The sequence below is a fragment of the Homo sapiens genome, chromosome 6 (assembly GCF_000001405.40).
Source record: "Homo sapiens chromosome 6, GRCh38.p14 Primary Assembly".
In the NCBI taxonomy this organism is placed as follows: Eukaryota; Metazoa; Chordata; class Mammalia; order Primates; family Hominidae; genus Homo; species Homo sapiens.
Genome location: NC_000006.12, coordinates 48,522,976 through 48,542,091, shown reverse-complemented (window position 1 = coordinate 48,542,091; position 19,116 = coordinate 48,522,976). Strand labels below are relative to the sequence as shown.

At 34.0% G+C, this 19,116-nt stretch overlaps 1 long non-coding RNA gene across 5 annotated transcripts in view; it reads right to left on the bottom strand.

Annotated features, from left to right (window-relative positions):
- Positions 1 to 17,658, bottom strand: part of LOC107986602 (uncharacterized) — a 74,122-nt gene extending 56,464 nt beyond the window's left edge. Inside the window, exons 1-3 of one of the 5 annotated variants that reach the window (XR_001744151.1) lie at positions 17,507 to 17,658; positions 7,519 to 7,750; positions 2,811 to 2,892 (exon numbers count right to left, since the gene is read on the bottom strand). This is a non-coding gene — a long non-coding RNA (uncharacterized LOC107986602). The remainder of the gene's footprint in view (positions 1 to 2,810; positions 2,893 to 7,518; positions 7,751 to 17,506) is intronic. The other 4 variants (XR_001744155.1, XR_001744154.1, XR_001744152.1 and 1 more) reach the window with 4 other exon arrangements.
- Between the last annotated feature and the right edge of the window lie 1,458 nt (positions 17,659 to 19,116).

The window sequence follows — 19,116 nt, the reverse complement described above, 5'->3', positions numbered from 1 at the left end:
GCATTTTATAGTAATAAGGTATTTTTAATTAAGATGTGTATTTTTTAAAAAGTGTAATACTATTGAACACTTAATAGACTATAGTATAGTGTACACATGATTTTTATATGCACTGGGAAAACAAAATTCCTGTGACTTACTTTATTGTCCTGGTTTGGAACTGAAATTGCTCTGAGGTATGCCTGTACTTTCTTGGGTTTTGTTTGTTTGTTTATCATCTGACTCATCTCACTTAGAATGTAAGATGCATAACAGCAGAGATTAGATCTGCTTTGTATTTCAGTATGTCAGAACTGTCAATTTAAAAGATTTGTGAGCAAGATTGTTAAAGGTGCTTCTTGCTCAAAAATCATTTTTTAGCTATCTGCTAGAAAATTGTCATAATAAATACATAAATCTATAATGACTTGAATTGTCCTAAAATTTCACAGTAGACAACCTGCAAAACTGTAAGTAACATCCTTAGTAACCCTGCTAAGAACCTGTATGAGTTGACTGGATTATTTACTGGATGAGTGATTACCAATACATTTACAGTTGTAAATGTATACCTTTGGTTTTAGGCTTTAAGCTCCTTGAATTTTTTTACCCCTTATGAAGCTTGGTATAATATATTTTCCTCAGTAGAAATTCAACAAATTTCTTTGTTTAAATAGATTAAAATGGCATCTCGGAATAATAAGAATCTTAGGAAAAAAGACTTAATAAGAAGCCAAATATAATTAGAATTACCAATGAGGGAGTTACTTACTTCTTTCATTTCCTAAAATTTCCTTTACATGATTACTTTTCATTTGAATAAGACCTCTCTCTCTATCTCTCTGTCTGTCTTTCTGTCTCTGTCTCTCTCTCTCTCCATCTCTCTTTGGAATCAATCTGTGCTAAGAGCATAAACAGAGTTGTTATGGCTCTTAGGGTCTACTGGGTGTAGAGAAATACTTGTCGTTTATGAACAAAAATTCCCTGGATTTTTACAGTGTGCCAGACTCTACCCTAGGAACTAGAAGACATAATGATGACCAGACCCTCAGAGGGATAAGATTTACTCAAGTAACTATAGTACAAATTAGTAAGAGATAAACTGCTGAACAAAATGCAGATAAGTAGTTATAAAAGTTAATGGAAGGATGAGCAAATTTCTATATAGAGAAACAGAGGTGATTTTCTGATTGAAATATTTTTGTTCCACATATAAATAACTTTTTTTTTTTTTGACAGTCTCACTCTGTCACCAGGCTAGAGTACAGTGGTGCGATCTTGGCTTACTGCAACCTCCACCTCCTGGATTCAAACAATTCTCCCGCCTCAGCCTCCTGAGTAGCTGGGACTACAGGCGCATGCCACCATGCCCAGCTAATTTTTTTGTGTGTGTTTTAGTAGAGACGGGGTTTCACTGTGTTGCCCAGGCTGGTCTCGAACTCCTGAGCTCAGACAATCCTCCCGCCTGGGCCTTCCAAAGTGCTAGGATTACAGGTGTAAGCCACAGTGCCCGGCTTTGAATAAAAACTTTCAAAAGCTTTTTGATCCATTGTAACATAGTATCATCTTCCAGTAATCGATGACGAGATACTAAAAAGATAATAGCTGTAAGGTTCCCATTCTTGGAAGCCTGAATAATAAAAGTATATGAAATGCTTTAAACTTGTATACTTCAACATAAAATGGAATCAATGCTATTTGCAATTGAATATATGTTGCTATGTGTATTGTATGAGGACTTTAAGAGGCTGTTGATATCACACATAAAAACCATATTGATTTGTAAATACTACCTGTCTTAAAAATGGTACAGAAAGCCCACTTTAGAGAAGACCATTGTCCCCAATCTGAAGAAATAACACAGAGATGTTGAAGAAGACAAAGGATTTCACAAGATGAGGAGATGATATCTCTCAGGAGAGATACTGATGGAAATTAGATCGCCATGAACAATTCTGAACTTGGATGCCATGGACCACTATGGCAGTCTGATGAAGCCTGTGGTCATCTTTTCAACTAATATAAATGTGTATAAATGCATTCAATTATAGATATAGGATTGCAAACTAAAGTCATTGATTGAACTGTTATTTTATTCAATGGAAGTCCATGAGCCCAAGTTTAAGAACCTCTGTACATCTGTTTGCTACAAGTCTTCCAAGTATGTATATTGCAAAGCTGAATAAGTTACATGAGGCTCAGTTTCTCAGCTATAAAATGTGAGAACAGCAAAAGTAACTCATAATTCCATGCATTCAGGTAAGGATTAAATAAAACAACACACGTAAGGAAGTTAGCACACTGTGCTATGGCCTTTAAGTGCCTAAGGAATGTTACTTATTAAGATTTTATATACTTTCCCATCCCACTATGTTGACTGTGGAGAAAAATAAGCTCCCCAAAGGGGACTCTTCCATATATGCTAACGCCAAGCTGTTTAGTTTCAAGGAGAAGACAAATGTCAGTTTCTCTTTCAAGTACATGTCCCTATTAGTGAGGTGATATTTATTAAATGTTTGCTTCACTAGGTCAGCCAGGAGCAGGCTTTCAATTTTTATACTCCCAAAGGCTTACTATCCACTGCATGAACCAAGAAGTCAGTTCAGTAGAAAATTAGAGGGGGGGGGGGGGGAAGGCCTTCTTAAAAACAAGGTTAAAGAAAAGAGAAATTTGGGGAGTTAGAAGCTCTAAATAATTCTATTCAAAATTTAAAGTAAGTTTAAATGGAATAAGTCTGTGAACACCTGCATGGTTAACAATAAACAGAAAAAAGAGAAGATAGTACATTAAAACTAAAAAGTCAGCCTCCACCTGGGAAGAAAGTACCTTACCTGGCATAAGTCTGTCAGCTCTTGGTCTGCCTCATTAGCGTCTTTGCAGAGTGGTGCAAATTCTCCCTAGAGAAATCCTTATCTGCAAAGAAACATTGGCACTGTGTTAAGTATGGGTAATACTTTACTCATTTTTGATGGGGGAAAAACACAGAATGCTTTTCTGCTAGGAAAGTATCTGGCTTCTTTCTTCCCATGTGAAAATCCAATAGTGGGAATCAAGAAAGGATTAAGTCTTAACTTAAAGGGCTAAGTCTTTTTTTTATATATATACTTTAAGTTCTAGGGTACATGTGCACAATGTGCAGGTTTGTTACATATGTATACATGTGCCATGTTGGTGTGCTGCACCCATTAACTGGTGATTTACATTAGGTATATCTCCTAAAAGATAACCCTCCCCCCTCCCCCCACCCCACAACAGGCCCCGGTGAGTGATGTCCCCCTTCCTGTGTCCAAGTGTTCTCATTGTTCAATTCCCACCTATGAGTGAGAACATGTGGTGTTTGGTTTTTTGTCCTTGTGATAGTTTGCTGAGAATGATGGTTTCCAGCTTCATCCATGTCCCTACAAAGGACATGAACTCATTATTTTTTACGGCTGCATAGTATTCCATGGTGTATATGTGCCACATTTTCGTAATCCAGTCTATCATTGCTGGACATTTGGGTTGGTTCCAGGTCTTTGCTATTGTGAATAGTGCTGCAATAAACATACATGTGCATGTGTCTTTATAGCAGCATGATTTATAATCCTTTGGGTATATACCCAGTAATGGGATGGCTGGGTCAAATGGTATTTCTAGTTCTAGATCCTTGAGGAATCACCACACTGTCTTCCGCAATGGTTGAACCAGTTTACAATCCCACCGACAATGTAAAATTGTTCCTATTTCTCCACGTCCTCTCCAGCACCTGTTGTTTCCTGACTTTTTAATGATCGCCATTCTAACTGGTGTGAGATGGTATCTCATTGTAGTTTTGATTTGCATTTCTCTGATGGCCAGTGATGATGAGCATTTTTTCATGCGTCTGTTGGCTGCATAAATGTCTTCTTTTGAGAAGTGTCTGTTCATATACTTCGCCCACTAGTTGATGGGGTTGTTTTTTCTTGTAAATTTGTTTGAGTTTTTAAAGGGCTAAGTCTTACCCTCAGCACTGTGCATCCCCATGATTCAATTACCTCACACCAGATCCCTCCCACAACACATGGGAATTTAAGATGAGATTTGGATGGGGACACAGCTAAACCATAGCAAGTTGTAAAAAAGTTGGCTTTACCTTCCTACTCATTTTTCTCTTTTCCCTGCTATCTTGATCAACTTGAGAACCAAATTTCACATATTAAACGAAATTCAGAGGGTTATAGAGATGATCTTACAGGTTTCTGAGAAATGAGGAGTCTCGCAAGAATGATTGTGTGTACATTACAGAAAGGGAAAGAATTTGGAGTAGCAGCTTTATCCAAAAAGCATGGGTGAGCTTCAGGACAAAATTCTGTGCAGTATGCAATGATTATAATGTTCTCTGTCCTACTCTATTTTTCAGGGAGCCCTGTTACAGCCATAGGAAAATAAGGTAGTAAAACTAAGTGCTCACAAGGTATTTGCAACTGTTGGCCTATGTAACTGGCTGTAGTGTGGCTGGGGTGAGGGAAACCTTCCCTATTCTTATAATAACTACTAATGCTGGACAAGTAGTCATCTATAGTGAAAGTGAAGCAGAGGAGGGCATCATATACAAAGGATAAGGTGACATGGGATATCACCTCAGCCACCAACGTAGGAAGAGAAGAAATAACTTCTGTGGGCACTTTTAAACATGACTTGGAGACTTTCTGAAATAGCTAGGTAAGGGTGTGAAACTTGGCTATATTGGAATTTTGAGGTTGGGAACAAAGCAGATAAACATAGGTTTTAAATATGACAACTAATTTAATATACTATCAAAGTATTGAGCCTTTTCCCAGGCACATTAAATCCACTTTCAGTGTAGAATCTAGCAATCTGAGTTTGAGCAACCCTTCCTGGTGATGTTGATACATGCTGAGTATGAGAACCACTCAATAGGATGATGTTTGAGATCCTATAGCAGACCTTGGTCTAGAAGAGTGGTTCTCAATGAGAGGCTATTTTGCTCCCCAGAAGACATTTGGTAATATCTGAACACATTTTTGGTTATTAACAGTGGGAAGGTGTGGATGATACTGACCACTAATGTGTAGAGGTCAAGAATACTGCTAAACATTCTGCAATGTATAACACAGCACCCAACACCCAACAAAGAATTAACTGTCCTAAAATGTCTATAGTTCACAATTGAAGAAATCCTCATCAAGAGTGGCTTTCAACTTAAGCACACATTTTAATACCTCTGAAGCTTTAAAATTATTGCTGTTTCCATCTTTTTTTCAAAGATTCTTATTTAATGGATATAGAATTTAACCTAGGCAACAGAAGTTGAGAACCACTGGACTGGAAGCTTGGTCTCTTTAATGCCCTCTCTATAATTAGCAAAGAGGTTCCTGTATTGGGGATTTTACAGACCTGGTGTGAAGGCTTGTATATTTGGGAAACCATTGCCTGAGACTGGTAAACTGAGTGCCAGGGGAGAAAAGAACATCCCATTAAATTTACTTGCTAAATTGTTGATGATTACACATGTAATGATTATAGTTTTTTGATGACTACACATGTCAGAACTATTCTTCCCTTATTCCATGTTTATCATCTAAGGCTATCCATTAGCTTTGCCCTTTTACCCATGTTATTGTCAAAACTTATAAGCTTAACTATAAAGTACAGAAATTATTGATTTAATAAATCCTTCCAACATGTATATTTGTGATATATTTTGTTTCATTTTAGCCCCTCCTTCCCCTACCATATGAGCTCCTAGCTAGCTTTGGGCAGAAAACTTAACCTCTAGGTTCTTTGATTTCTTCATCTTTAATACCTATTCTTTAGAACTGCTGATGTGATCAAATGAGGTGAACCATAGGACACATCTAGCGCAGGGCTTAAAATATGCCTACCTCTTGATCAATGGTAGCTGATAATTATTCTTCTCAGATGTTTGAGAAGAAAATCAACTCACCTCTAAATAAGGGTTTTAAGCCCACTATTTTTTGTTTCTTTGTTTCAAAGTCATTCAATAGTCTTGAATTACTCAAACTATCCATACTAAATAAGTATATTTAAGCACTGTGGAAATAAATGAAGACCAATCAAATGACAATAAGTAATGGCTGTTTATTCAGAGCTTGTTACAGCCAGGGAGTCAGTCATTATCACTTGGTTTGGCAGGGACTCAAAGGCAGGCAAAGGAATGTGAAAGCTTTATAGTTATTGAAAGGGAAAGCTTCAGGTATTCCCTGATTGGAGACTGTTGGCATGTGGAAGCTAGAGACAGGCTAACTAGCAGTGGGACACCCTAGGTGATTTGTTAGTCTAGGATAACTGGCTTTCTTTGATTGGTCCTAAATAGGAAAGTAAAGGTGGTTAAGGGCTTAGGATGTGGGAATTAGGGAAGCTGTCAGTTACTGATTAAGTTCTGACCATTTGTGGGCATTTGCTATGCAGATTGTGGTTTGGCTTCCTGAACCGGTTGCTGCAGATTGTGGTTTAGCTCCTCATTGTGGTTTAGCTTCCCTAGCTGGTTGCTGGGGGTTGCAGGTCAGAGTTCTATTTTAGTACAGATGCTCCTTGACTTACTATGACACTACATCCTGGTAAACCTATTGTAAATTGACAACAATGTAAATTGAAATACATTTAATATACCTAACCTACAAAACATCATAGCTTAGCCTATCCTACCTTAAATATACTCAGAACACTTATATTATCTTATAGTTGGGCAAAATCATCTAACATAAAGGTTATTAAAACAAAAAGTTGAATATCTTATGTAATTTATTGAATTCTATACTGAAAGTGAAAAACAGAATAGTTGTTCTACTGAATGCCTACTGCTTTATACTATTTTAAAGTCAAAAAATCTTAAATCAAACTTTTATAAGTTGAGGAACATCTGTATATGGTATGGGCATTGTGCTTTGTATATTCAGTATAAGGAATGCTGATGATTTTAGTAAATAAGACCAGTATAAAGTAGAAGTGGTTGTACATCTTCTTAGGAGGCTCTAAAGCTATTACTAAAAAATCCATTTGCTAATGCCCAAAATTCTTTCAAAGTGGAGCTGTGTTAAAATTCAGGATAATTAACTTTAAGGAAATTATTTGGTTTGAACACTAAACTTTATGCTTGTTTAATCTACTCAGCCTGTTTTTCAAAGTAAATGGATATGATAGACCTACTTACATTACAAACACACATTTACATGTGGTACCTGTGTATGCCCAACTTTGGCACACATGACCATGCTCTTTACTTTTATCCTCTCATTAATAATCATAAATTTACATGGATAATGTAAATATTGAATAAAAAATTCTACGTAAGCTTTCAAGAGCCACCTTCCATGTTTAACACTTCTAAATCCTAATTTATTCTTTTAGAAAAGAACTACATGCATAATTCCCAAATTATATGAATCTGAGGATACAGAAGACACAAAATCATAGCAATAAATCACTATTACTCTTCTTACTTCAATCATCACAATCAAGGAGGGCTTTTTAAGTGCTAACTTTCCTCCAAATTAGTTCAGAAAGTCTCCAGGGACTAAGTTTAAGGCAAATACATACCCTCCAGCTGCTCCTAACATTCACCACTCTCCCTCTTCATCTCTTCAGGTTGGCTTTCCGGAATACCATCCTTCTTTATTTTTTCAAAGCTTCACCAGGTAGGTAAGGTTTCCATTATCTCTCACTTCTTGTAGAGATTTCAGAGACAGCAGGACTTGCAGTCTTTTACTGCAGATACCTCTCCTTAGGACCCAGGAGAGTTGGAACAGGTAAGCAATTTGTGTAGCGCACTCTATGAAGTTATAAAAAAACATCAAGGAAAGGCTTGACCCACAGCTTTCCTGAATTTTGACAGAATACTTTGTGATCCTGCTAGAACATGAAAGGATGGTAACTTAGTAAGAAGCAATTCGGAGATCAGTCTCCCAACCTCCCCCTTATTCTCTCGGGGAGGCTGTCATGAGACAGTTTCTCATCACCTCCCGGGTTGAGGAATGGAATTTTTGCCCTAACCTCTCAGAATAGAGCTGTAGACTAAAACCTCTTAGCTGCAGGCTAGAATTGGCTCCTTAGCAGTGATATATCCCACAACATCCATTGCAGTCCTCTGGCTTCTTGGTTTTGGTGCCATTCTTGTAGGTGTCTAAGGACAAGGGATTTGGGTTATTCTTCTTTTCACAGTCTATGTAAGTAATAAAAGAGGTTCTGAAAGAGGTTCCTTGTATTTTTACTGGCCAAACCAGTCAGACTTTGTTATTGGCTTTATTTTTTTCTAGTGTATGCTTGACAAATGGCAGCCTCCTGCTAAGGCTTGGCAACAGACCCACAGAAGCTGTAGCTACATAGAGGTAATAGCTTCCCATAGACCTCTCCCCAAGTTTCCCAGTCACGGGCTTACTTTGGAGGCTGAAAGTCATTAGCTTCACAGCATTTCCCTGCAAGCTTCAACTGCCTACCCAAGCCAGTGCTTCAGTCAGGCTGGTTAATGTGACCTTCTCTTTGATTTTCCAGCTCTCTGGAATTCTGGGGATTTTACATCCTCATCTCTTCCCAGAACCATGTAATGTCTATTTACTATAATAAATCTCTTAATGCTATCAATAATCCTACTGAATCCGCTTCCTTGACTTAATCTTGTTTGATAAAAAAAAGTAAAGTTTGCATTCAAATTAAAAATCTCAAAAAATGTTAATATGTTAATAGATAGAAGATCTTTTGTCTAGAAGAGATAGTCCTTATAGTTTTGGAATTAGGCCAGCTATCATCAATTGTGTTTTTTCTTATTTTTCTTTTCTCAAAGTTTAATAAATCCAACCCAAATATCTGGATTATGAGATAGCAACTCCCATTGAAAGCTCTTGTCTCTCATTCTAATTAAGTTTATTTCCAAAATGTCATTTGACCTATCTTTGTCTATATTTTTCCACTGCTCTAAAATATAGAGAATGGAAGAAGACTACTGCTCAAAAGCAATTAAGTAATAAAAATTGGGGAAAAATGTGGAAATGATTAAATCATATGAAATGAGTATCTACTTTTGTTAAATTGAAATTGTCTTCTCATATGGGGACAACTGTTCTGATCTGGGCACAGAACTCCATATACCAGGTGAATTTTGAAATCCCTTTTGACTTTGTAATGCAATAACATTGGCATAACAGAATTTTCTTAAAATTGTATATTTGTGTTAATACAATTGCAGTTTAAAAATAACTTTTATTTATAATATTTGTTTGGTTCTATATACTCTCTGTGACTTATGTAAGACAAATGTTATTACCTTTGTTTTGTAAATTGAAACACACCATGTCAATAGTTTGAGTGACTTGTATTGTGTGGCAAAGCTTGGAAGTGGCATTCATCAAAATGCATATGTTTTACTTCCAAGAACCATCTTTTAAGTAAGTTTTCAGATACTTGCAAGCTCAAAAGAGAAAATACAAAGATAACTTTGGTTTATCTGTGCCATTATTAAAAGTTAAAGCACACAGACTGTTTCTGCGTTGTGACCTTGAATCCTGATGGCCAAAGTAGATCAAGAAAGAACTATATTTTTTCCTCATCTAGAGATAATTGGCAACAAATATTTTTGACATTAATAACTTTTGAAAATTTCAATTGGCCCACTATTGCTGCCATTTGCAGTTATTTACGTTTTAGCCCAAATAACCTGAGACATTTTTTCCCCCTGGACTCTAAAACACGTAAAAGAAAAGCATTTACCAAAGGGTAATTGTGGCTAGACCATTAGATTTGCTCCGATAGGCTTGGTTTTCTGAAGCATGTATTATGTAACATTTCACAGAGCATCCTTATTTGAACATTAGATTAAACTTATTATTTAAACAACATTCTTGACACTTTTACTTGTTTAACACCAACCTTGCAAGAACTGATACATTTGGAATACTTAGAATAATCTGACTTTATGTTGTTTTTATATTTCCTAGTATGCCCTATTATACCTAATTTACTGAAGTAATGGTGTCAAACCAAATGTAGACCTTGAAATCATTTGTAGAACTTTTTCTAATATGTAGCCAAGGGAACTATCTTAGGTCTGGCCTCTGGAGGACAGAATCTGCACACATTTTTAAAAACAATCAAACAAAAAACACAACCTAAACTATTACTATCACAACCCCCAAAAAACTCCCTGAGTTATTTCTGTAATTCTGATGCACAGCATTATTTATAAACAAAAGTGTTGGCGCACAGTAGGCATTAAATAAATATTTTTCAATAAATAAACGAGTATTTAGCATTGATGTCAAGTCTAACCAGTTTTCTGTTAGTGATTCTTAGTACCCCAACTTAACTCTACCTGAACTTGCCCACAGCTATCTCACCGATTCCTACGTAGTAGGAGAAATCTCCTCATCCATTACCCTTAGATGAAAGCACTACCCAAGACATAGGATGTCCCAGCAGTTGAAATTGAGTACTATATGTTATACAACTGCATTTATTAAAAAAAAATTATTTCGTTTGTGTTATCTTGAGAATTATTGTGATCACCTCTCAATTTATTTTTTAAAATATTCAAAATTAAAATGATCAACTCAATTAGCTCTATGTTACCAAAATAAATACTAATTCATAAAGTCTGATTTTTGTCTTCTTAGGATTTAATATTTTTTCAATGTTTTTCTTTCTATGTTTAGTCAAATTGTAAGGTGCTATATTTGCCTTAGAATATCTTTTGTTTGTATCTTTAAGGCTGCAGCCTCTTTCTCATATTTATTTTCTAAAATTTAATTCTAAAATTAAGAAAAAATACAGGTGACTGACACTCTTCTCTTCATGAAGGTACATAAAGCATAATGAAGTGATGGGGAGTATATATTCACATTCAGAGTATATAGACTTCTGTATGATTAGGGAGAATAAAATATTTCTCTATTTAAATTTATTTTCTATTTGTCTTGACATCTTTTTTTTTTGTCAGACCTGATAATTTAGGGCATTTTTATTTATTTATTTATTTATTTATTTATTTATTTATTTTTATTATACTTTAAGTTTCAGGGTACATGTGCACATTGTGCAGGTTAGTTACATATGTATACATGTGCCATGCTGGTGCGCTGCACCCACTAACTCGTCATCTAGCATTAGGTATATCTCCCAATGCTATCCCTCCCCGCTCCCCTGACCCCACAACAGTCCCCAGAGTGTGATATTCCCCTTCCTGTTGTCTTGACATCTTATAAAAGATTAATTTAAAACACTAATGGGAATTATTAACAAGCTGCTAAAAGATATAACTCCTGAAATACATTCTCAGCTCCTCTAGGAAATCTTCAATTTCAATTATTTGAAGAAATATGACAGAAAGGGTCACAGAAATATCATCATCATCTAAGGAGACAAGGTGTCTGCTTTTAAAGGGCAAGATTTTAAGGCTAGACCAAAATGAACATTTTGAAAGTTTCTACTTTCCTGGGTGAGAAATAAATTTAGACATCAAAGCATACTTTCTTTTGTTCTGGAAAGATCTAATTTTTAAGTACATTTATTTAGTTATTCACTTAGTTCATTAGCCTATGCTTTTGATCAGTATTCTAATACCATGAAAAAAAAGCCAAATGCATATTCATTAGAGTGAAATAGTAAATATTCTGTTCAGTATTGTGAATTGAATATAGCTATGGCAGAATGCTGTTTCTGTGAAGTTGGAAAAATTTTATGGTCTAAATATGAATTTCTGCCTACTCATTGCTAAAAAAAGAAACGATAAGATTCTAAATGAAATAGAATTAACCACAGAACGGATGTAGCAGAAGAAGAGATTGGAACTAAATTACAGGACAATTGAAAATGTCTAGTTAGAAAGGGTAGAGGTAAAGAGTGTTTTGTGTGTGTGTGTGTGTGTGTGTGTTTGAAGTCCCAAAGGGAAGGAAAGAGAGAGTAAAAGCAATGTTTAAAAGAAGGTGGAAAGTATTTTCTGAAAATGAGGAAAAGCTTATCCACCTAGTCATGAATCACTGCAAAGAAAAACTAGGCACAACACATAGTAAAACTTCAGAAAGTAAAATATAAAAATAAAATATTGAAAGTGACTAGCAAAAAAAGACTTTTTAATCATAAAAGAAAAAATAAGGAAAACAATTGACAATAGAAAATAATGGAAGCTAAAAACAATGAAATATGATTTTTAAACTGCCAAAATAACTGCTAACTTTTTATTCTATTCTCACAGAGCTTCCTCTACAATAAAGGCAATATAAACATAATATATGGCAAACAAAAGCTCAGAGATTTGATTGGCAGAATAATTATATTAAGAGCATTAGTTAGGAAGTTCTCCAGGAAGAAGTAATTTGTAGGCAGAAACAAAGAAATTTAGGAACTAATACATAGCCCTAAATAAGATAAGGAAAATTACTGTAGACTTTATAAAACAATAAAAATGTGTTTCAAGGCACATAAATTATATGAATTATTAAAATACACGTAATCAATAACACAAAAGTATATTAAGGTCAAAGCTTTGTCTAGATAATGCTAAATGAATTAATTTATATTAGAATTTAATGAGTGAAAAATACATGTTGTCAAATCCAGGATATCCACTAAAAACTAGTAAATAATGTAAAACTATTGAAGTACTAGAAGGAAAATAATAAAATATTTACACAACTGAAGATGAAACAGGTACTATTAATAAAAGCAAATAGTAATATGGATATATTTAATGTGTTGGAAATAGTAATAGTAGTGACAGTAAATTGTACTGAATACCCAAAGTAGATGTAAAGGATGCATTACAGGACCAAAAGAAACTATAAGTAACTTAAAAGGCACAAAACTTAAATATAAAGTTGTAGAATGTTTGATAGTAAATTGATGAAAAAATATAAATACAAAAGTTAACCCAAGAAAGCAAAAGTAATTATACAATAACCAAAATAACTGACTATAAGCAAGGATTATAAGAGACAATATAAGCAATTTCCTATCCAATGTAAATAAACTTTTGAAAAATTTGAAATTTTATAACCTATTTTATAATATTATTTCAAAATATATAAAGAAAAATGGCATTTAAAGAGAAATAGACAAATCTTCAATCATAAAAAATTTAGCACAAAGTTTTCAATAGCATATAGTAAACAAAAACAATACAGAAGATCTAAGTAAAATTAGAAAACATATTTATTCTAATGACATATATAGAGCAATATTCAACAACTATAGAATGGTCATTTTAAAAGTGCAAATGTATCACAAACTAAAAGTGACAATTATTTAGAGAATGATTTCTGACAACAGTTTAAGCAACAAAATTATAATAATTATATAAATTTTAAAAATTCCCATATGTAAGGATATTTTTAAAATGTGCTTATAAATAACTCATACTTCATGAGTAAAATAAGATGTCACAGTGGAAATTAGAAAATATTTGAAGTGATATATTGTGAAAATATAACATCTCTATACCTTTAGAATGTAACCAAAATTGTATTTACGAGATAATGTATATCCTTAAATACCTGCCTAAGAAAATAATAAAGGTGAAAAATCAATGATCTAAGTAAACATTTAAAAACTAGAAAACCATTAATAAGAAATTAAACATACCAAATAAAAATGAGAAAACAATAAATCCAAAACAGAAATGAATGTTAGAAATCAAATACACACCATAATCAATAATAACAAATATTAATATTAAAGAGCTTAATAAGCTGAATACAACCTTGACAAGATGGGTGGGAGAGAGGAAAGAAACAGAGAAAGAGTGAAGAAGGAAATATTATAAAAATAAAAGATAACATACTCCAGATCTCACAGAATTAAAAAGAAAAAAAAGGTAGTCTAAAATCTTTGTGACAAAAAATTAAATTTTTTTCAATTGGCATGAATCTTGAAAAACATAACAAGAAGAAATAGAAGATCTGTATAACCAATATCTACAGAAATATTAATAACTCCAAACCCAGGTGGCTTTACCAACGAATTATTTTAAATAGTTTTAGTAGAAATAAGGTTAATCATAGAAAAATGTTTCCGGAAGGTAGAAAAAGTAAGAATGTTTCTCAATGTATTGTATGAAAGTAACCTGAAATGACCTTTTTTTAAATTAAAAAAAAAAAACTAAGTCTTTTCAAAGATAGTTTTAAAAAGGGAAGTTACAGGACACTCTTTTAAAAACAAATATAAAAATTCTACACAGAAAGATAATAAAGATATCAAATGTGATGTAAAAGAGTAATAGAAAACATATTTGAGTTTGCTCCAGAAGGGTCAGGTTGAAAATTAATCAATGTATTACATCCATATTTAGAGGAAAGAATAAAAATAATATTATAATCTTTATAGATGCATAAACAAAGCTTGATAAAATTCAACCTAAATTCATAATCAAAACTTTAAACTAGCAACAAATGGAAGGAAACTTGCTCAATTCAGAGTATCTGCAAAATACCTAAGTAAACGTCACAGTTAATACAGAAATTTTGACATAATTCCCTCAAATATCAGAAATGAGGCAAAGATGTCTGCTATCATGACTTCCATTTCACTTCATACTGCAAGTCTTAGCCAGATCAATAAGATAAGAAAAAAAAAAGTTATAAGGTTTGAGAAAAAAGTCAAACTGTCATCATTATATATAGTTGACATTATTGTGTATGAACAGTATGCTAAATAATCACAAAGTACTAAAAACAATAAATGAATTTAGCCAACTCACTGGGTACGAGACCACTGTGGAAATCAATTTTATTTTCATAGAAATTGTCTAGCAACAATCACCAGGAAAGCAAATTTTTAAAATGGTAGCATTTATCACAGCTTCTAAGAACATCTAGAAACAAATTTAATAAAAGAAATGTATTCTATGTTTCTTTCAATTATGTTTCATAATTCTATATTTAAAATTATAAAATTTCACAATAGACTCAAATAAATCACAATCAGAATTCCAGTATACACTTTTTATCAAAATTGACAACATTCTAGAATTTATATACAAATTCAAAATGGCTACATCTAGTTAAGATAAACTTGGAAAAAAAAAGTTGGGAGAGTTATATTACTATTTATGTTGGAGTTCAGGATCTAGAGCAAAGTCTGGTGAATTATAAGGAATCTTTTTGGGGGAGTGAGAGGGAGGATCTATAGTCCTTGAGAATTGGGCTCTGCTGGTGAGTTTAAAGAGAGGCACTTCGTCTGAGTAAATGACAGTTTCCTAATTCAATCAGTTTTACACCTTAACTGGAGAAAGAGGTGAATAAAGACCATGACAGTGGAGTGGATAACCTGAATGGATGTATTGCCGGAAGGTATCAGACATACCATCTATAGAGTAGAAAGGTTTTTGTACTCTTCTGAGAAAGCCAGGTTAGAGAATCGGGATAAAATTTTTGTTAAGTGGGAGATTTCAGTAATTTGAAATTGATATTTTTTCTCACTCAAGATATTATTTTAAGACTTTCTAAGCTTACAGCAAGATTCTGTTATATAGCAATATTCAGCTATAAACCACTTCTTACTATTATTTCTGAACTCCTTCCTAGAATGAATAAGGGGATAAATGATGCATCATGAATTGACTTCTAGCTTTAGATTTAAAAGTGACTGGAGAAGAACAAGAAAGGAAGTGTTCTATCTGTGTTTCCTGCAGAGGCAGTAGAAAGAGCTTGATTTGAAGATTCAGTTGGAACTGGACATAAATGAGCCTCACAATAGGACATAGTACCTGAAATGGCAAGATATATATTTACAGCATCATAATCTAGGTTGGAGATGCAGATTTACATACCAAAGACAAGGCTTACATAGATTGAATGTACTGTAGGATATGACACACACATAAAATTCTCTTTTGCTTTTTCAGATTTTTTTGTTTTATTTTTATGATTTCTTAACTTCCAGCTACAACTGGATGCCTACCAGTTAGTCAGGAAAAATATGTAGAAACTAGTTAATATAACTTCAAAGACACATATATTAAAGGCTTATTTTCAGTCATTTCTTGTTCAGGTATTTGTTCAGTACTATGCCTCAGGCATTCTTAAAGACACACTAAGCCATCCTTTGACTTCTTTTATCTGGATGACTCTGATACGAAGCTAGCACAGGATCAAGTTCATAAATCCATTAACCTCCAGAACCACGTCTCTAAGCCTGCTACTAACTGGAGGTGAGGCATCAGCAAAAACAAGTAGTTATGCAATGTCTGTTATCCTCTAAGTGCTGAGTTTTGGTGTTAGGATAGTGGGCACATCATATAGTTTTTTTCTCACTGAAATACAAATTCTAGTGGCAGATAGTAAGTTACTTCATGTAGTTTCTATTTCCTAATAATATTTGTGTTGGAATTCTGGGAGGTTTAAATAAATGTATACGTTGGAGAGGAGAAATTTAAGATCCTATACATATAGGTAAACCTCAATGGTATAATTATCCGTATAATAGGGTATCAATCAACTTTTATTGAATCCGTTAAAACATTCCATACGAAAACATCAAAGGCCTTTAACTTCATACGCAAAGAGGTTTTTAACCTCAGCTGTAAAGTTGTACATGACTATAAGCTGATTTCATTTGTTAATGTTATTTTAAAGTCTATGGGCAGGCAGGGAATATACTTGTTCATCAACACTAAAGTTTTCTATGTGAAAATGATAATGCTAAAAATGTTAATAACAACTAGCATTTATTTATTAGCTGGCAGAAACTACCCTTAAGAACTTATAAATTTTTATATACTTCTTATTGCCTAAAAAAGTACCTCATATATAATTGTGGCACATAGTATTTTCAAAAAATGGCCACAACAGTATTCCAGTTTTCACATGCTCTTCCAGAAATTTGCCACCTTTCCATCAAGAGTAGAGACTCTTTCTACTGTCTTTGAAATTGGACTGGACTTTATGACTGCCTCAATGAATAGAATGCAGTGGGTGTAATGCTGTGACTTCTGAACTGTGAGAAAAGGTGATATCACTTCTACCTGGATTGTTCTTGCTTTTGGGACACTTATCCTTAGATCTCATTCTTCATGTTTTCAGGAAGCTCAGGCCACATGGAAAGGCCACATGTGGATCTTTTGGCTAAGGTCTCAACTGACACCTTGCATTCACTGACAGAAGTATGAAAGAAAGAGACATCAAAGTATTCTTGTCCCCTGCCTTGCAGCCACCCAGCTGATGCTGAGTGGGCTGGAGAGGATCTATCCCTGCACAAATGGCAGATTTATGAAAAAATAAATGTTCCATTTAAGCCATAACTTTTAGGGGTAATTTGTTACCCTGTGTTCAATAACCAAAACAAATAGCTATACAAGTTCACTTCTCACAAAATGTATTTGAGCTGAGTACTTACTAGTGCCATATTAGAATCCTCATTTTACATAAGGAGTAATGTTAAGTAACTTTTCAAATGTCACATAATTAGTGAACGTGTGTAGTAAATACATTAGTAAATATGAATGCTCAACATGGACAGTCTGTAATTGCTAAAGATCTATTTTTTTAAAAAAGAATAAATATGAATCATTTCCCCCAGCTAGGCTGTTACGATGAAACCTTCTTACCTCTCACTTACATTTCCACATGCAGGCTTTGGGAGGATTTCAGCCCAAGATTTTAGTCTGCACTGAAGCTCTATGGTTGATGCTAGAAGAGAGACTGACTCGAACAGCAGTGTTGTGATCTATCCCTTGGCCCACATTCAGTTTCCAGGGTGTTCAGTTCTTTCTTTCCTTGATCAACTTTGCAATCTCTGATATCTCTGTGTCTTCAAGGTACTGCTTTACGTCATTGGCTCTGCTATGATGACTGCACTCCCAGTAACTCCTAAGGTACTGCCTGCTCTCTGCCTGCCAGAGCTCTCTTGGGAATAATGAGGTGTTGCTAGTCACTAATAAATATTCGCCAACAATTACATCTGCTCTACAACTAATGATTAATCTAATGAGTATCTCTTAACCTGTCCATTTTTTGTATTCTCCGATGGTCTGAACACAGAAACTTCTTATCTTATACATGTAGCTTAATCTTCATTCCAGCTTCCTCTACACCCTTCTTAGTTGGTTAAGTCCAATTAATATACATAAACATTACACACATTTCAAGTTATTCATACAAGGATGGTATTTTGTGAGTGAAAAAATGAGAATACATGACCTTTCAAAAGTGAACTACATTGAAGTACATGGAATAGAACTTATGAAATAATAAAACACTTTAAACACTATAGGATTGTAATGGAAAGATCAGAACAAATGCTGATCATAATAATACCCTTTATGATGAATATCAGATACATTAATATATATAATTATATTTTAAACCTCTCTATGCAGCTGTAAGCATTGAGTTTATATCAAAATATGTTAACCAATATACTAACAAATTTCCTTCAGATGATTTTTTTTGTTTGCAGATTGAACATTTTTTACCTGTTTAGAAAAAGTAGGAAAGAGAAATTTTGTTCTATGCAGAAAATGGAAAGTTGGGCTGAATCCTATAAAGCCCATGTCATTGAATTTTTACTTGAATTTTCTCTGGTTTGGTAAATGATAGAAATGACCACAATCTTTCACTCATTCCTGTTCCTAGTCTCTTTTGTAATGTGACTTTATAGCTTTTCACACCATGAGTAGCAGTATGGTGTCTTCCCCTGCAGTGCACCCTCTCCCACCCCCCAGACAAAAGTCTGGCTTTGCCCTGTAACTTGGTTTGGCCAATTGAATGCAGTAGAAGTAATGGTGTCTTCATTCCTAGCCTAGAACTTATATGCTTGTATGCTTCTGCTCACTGTCTTGAAATGTAAATCAGTAAAACATTATTTTCATACCTTCTGCCTCTGTGTAGGTTAATCTTAGTGGTATTGTCATTTTGTACTCTCTTCATCGTCTGTAAGTTGATGAAAATTAATTGTGATTTTTGCCATTACTTTCAATATTTGTCTGACTAAATGATAACTTCAAAGGATGAAAAGAAGAATTCTAATTATGCTTTTTAATGCATTGTCAGTTGATCATTTGGAAACAGTGGACTTTATTTTGATTTAATTTAAAATGTGACAAAAGCGACATCTTTGTTACAAATTGTGATGACCAATGTCTAATCATGTGCAGCCCAAGACGTAATGAAATAGTAGAGAGCCCTGAACTATGTCCCATAATGAAATAGTAGAGAG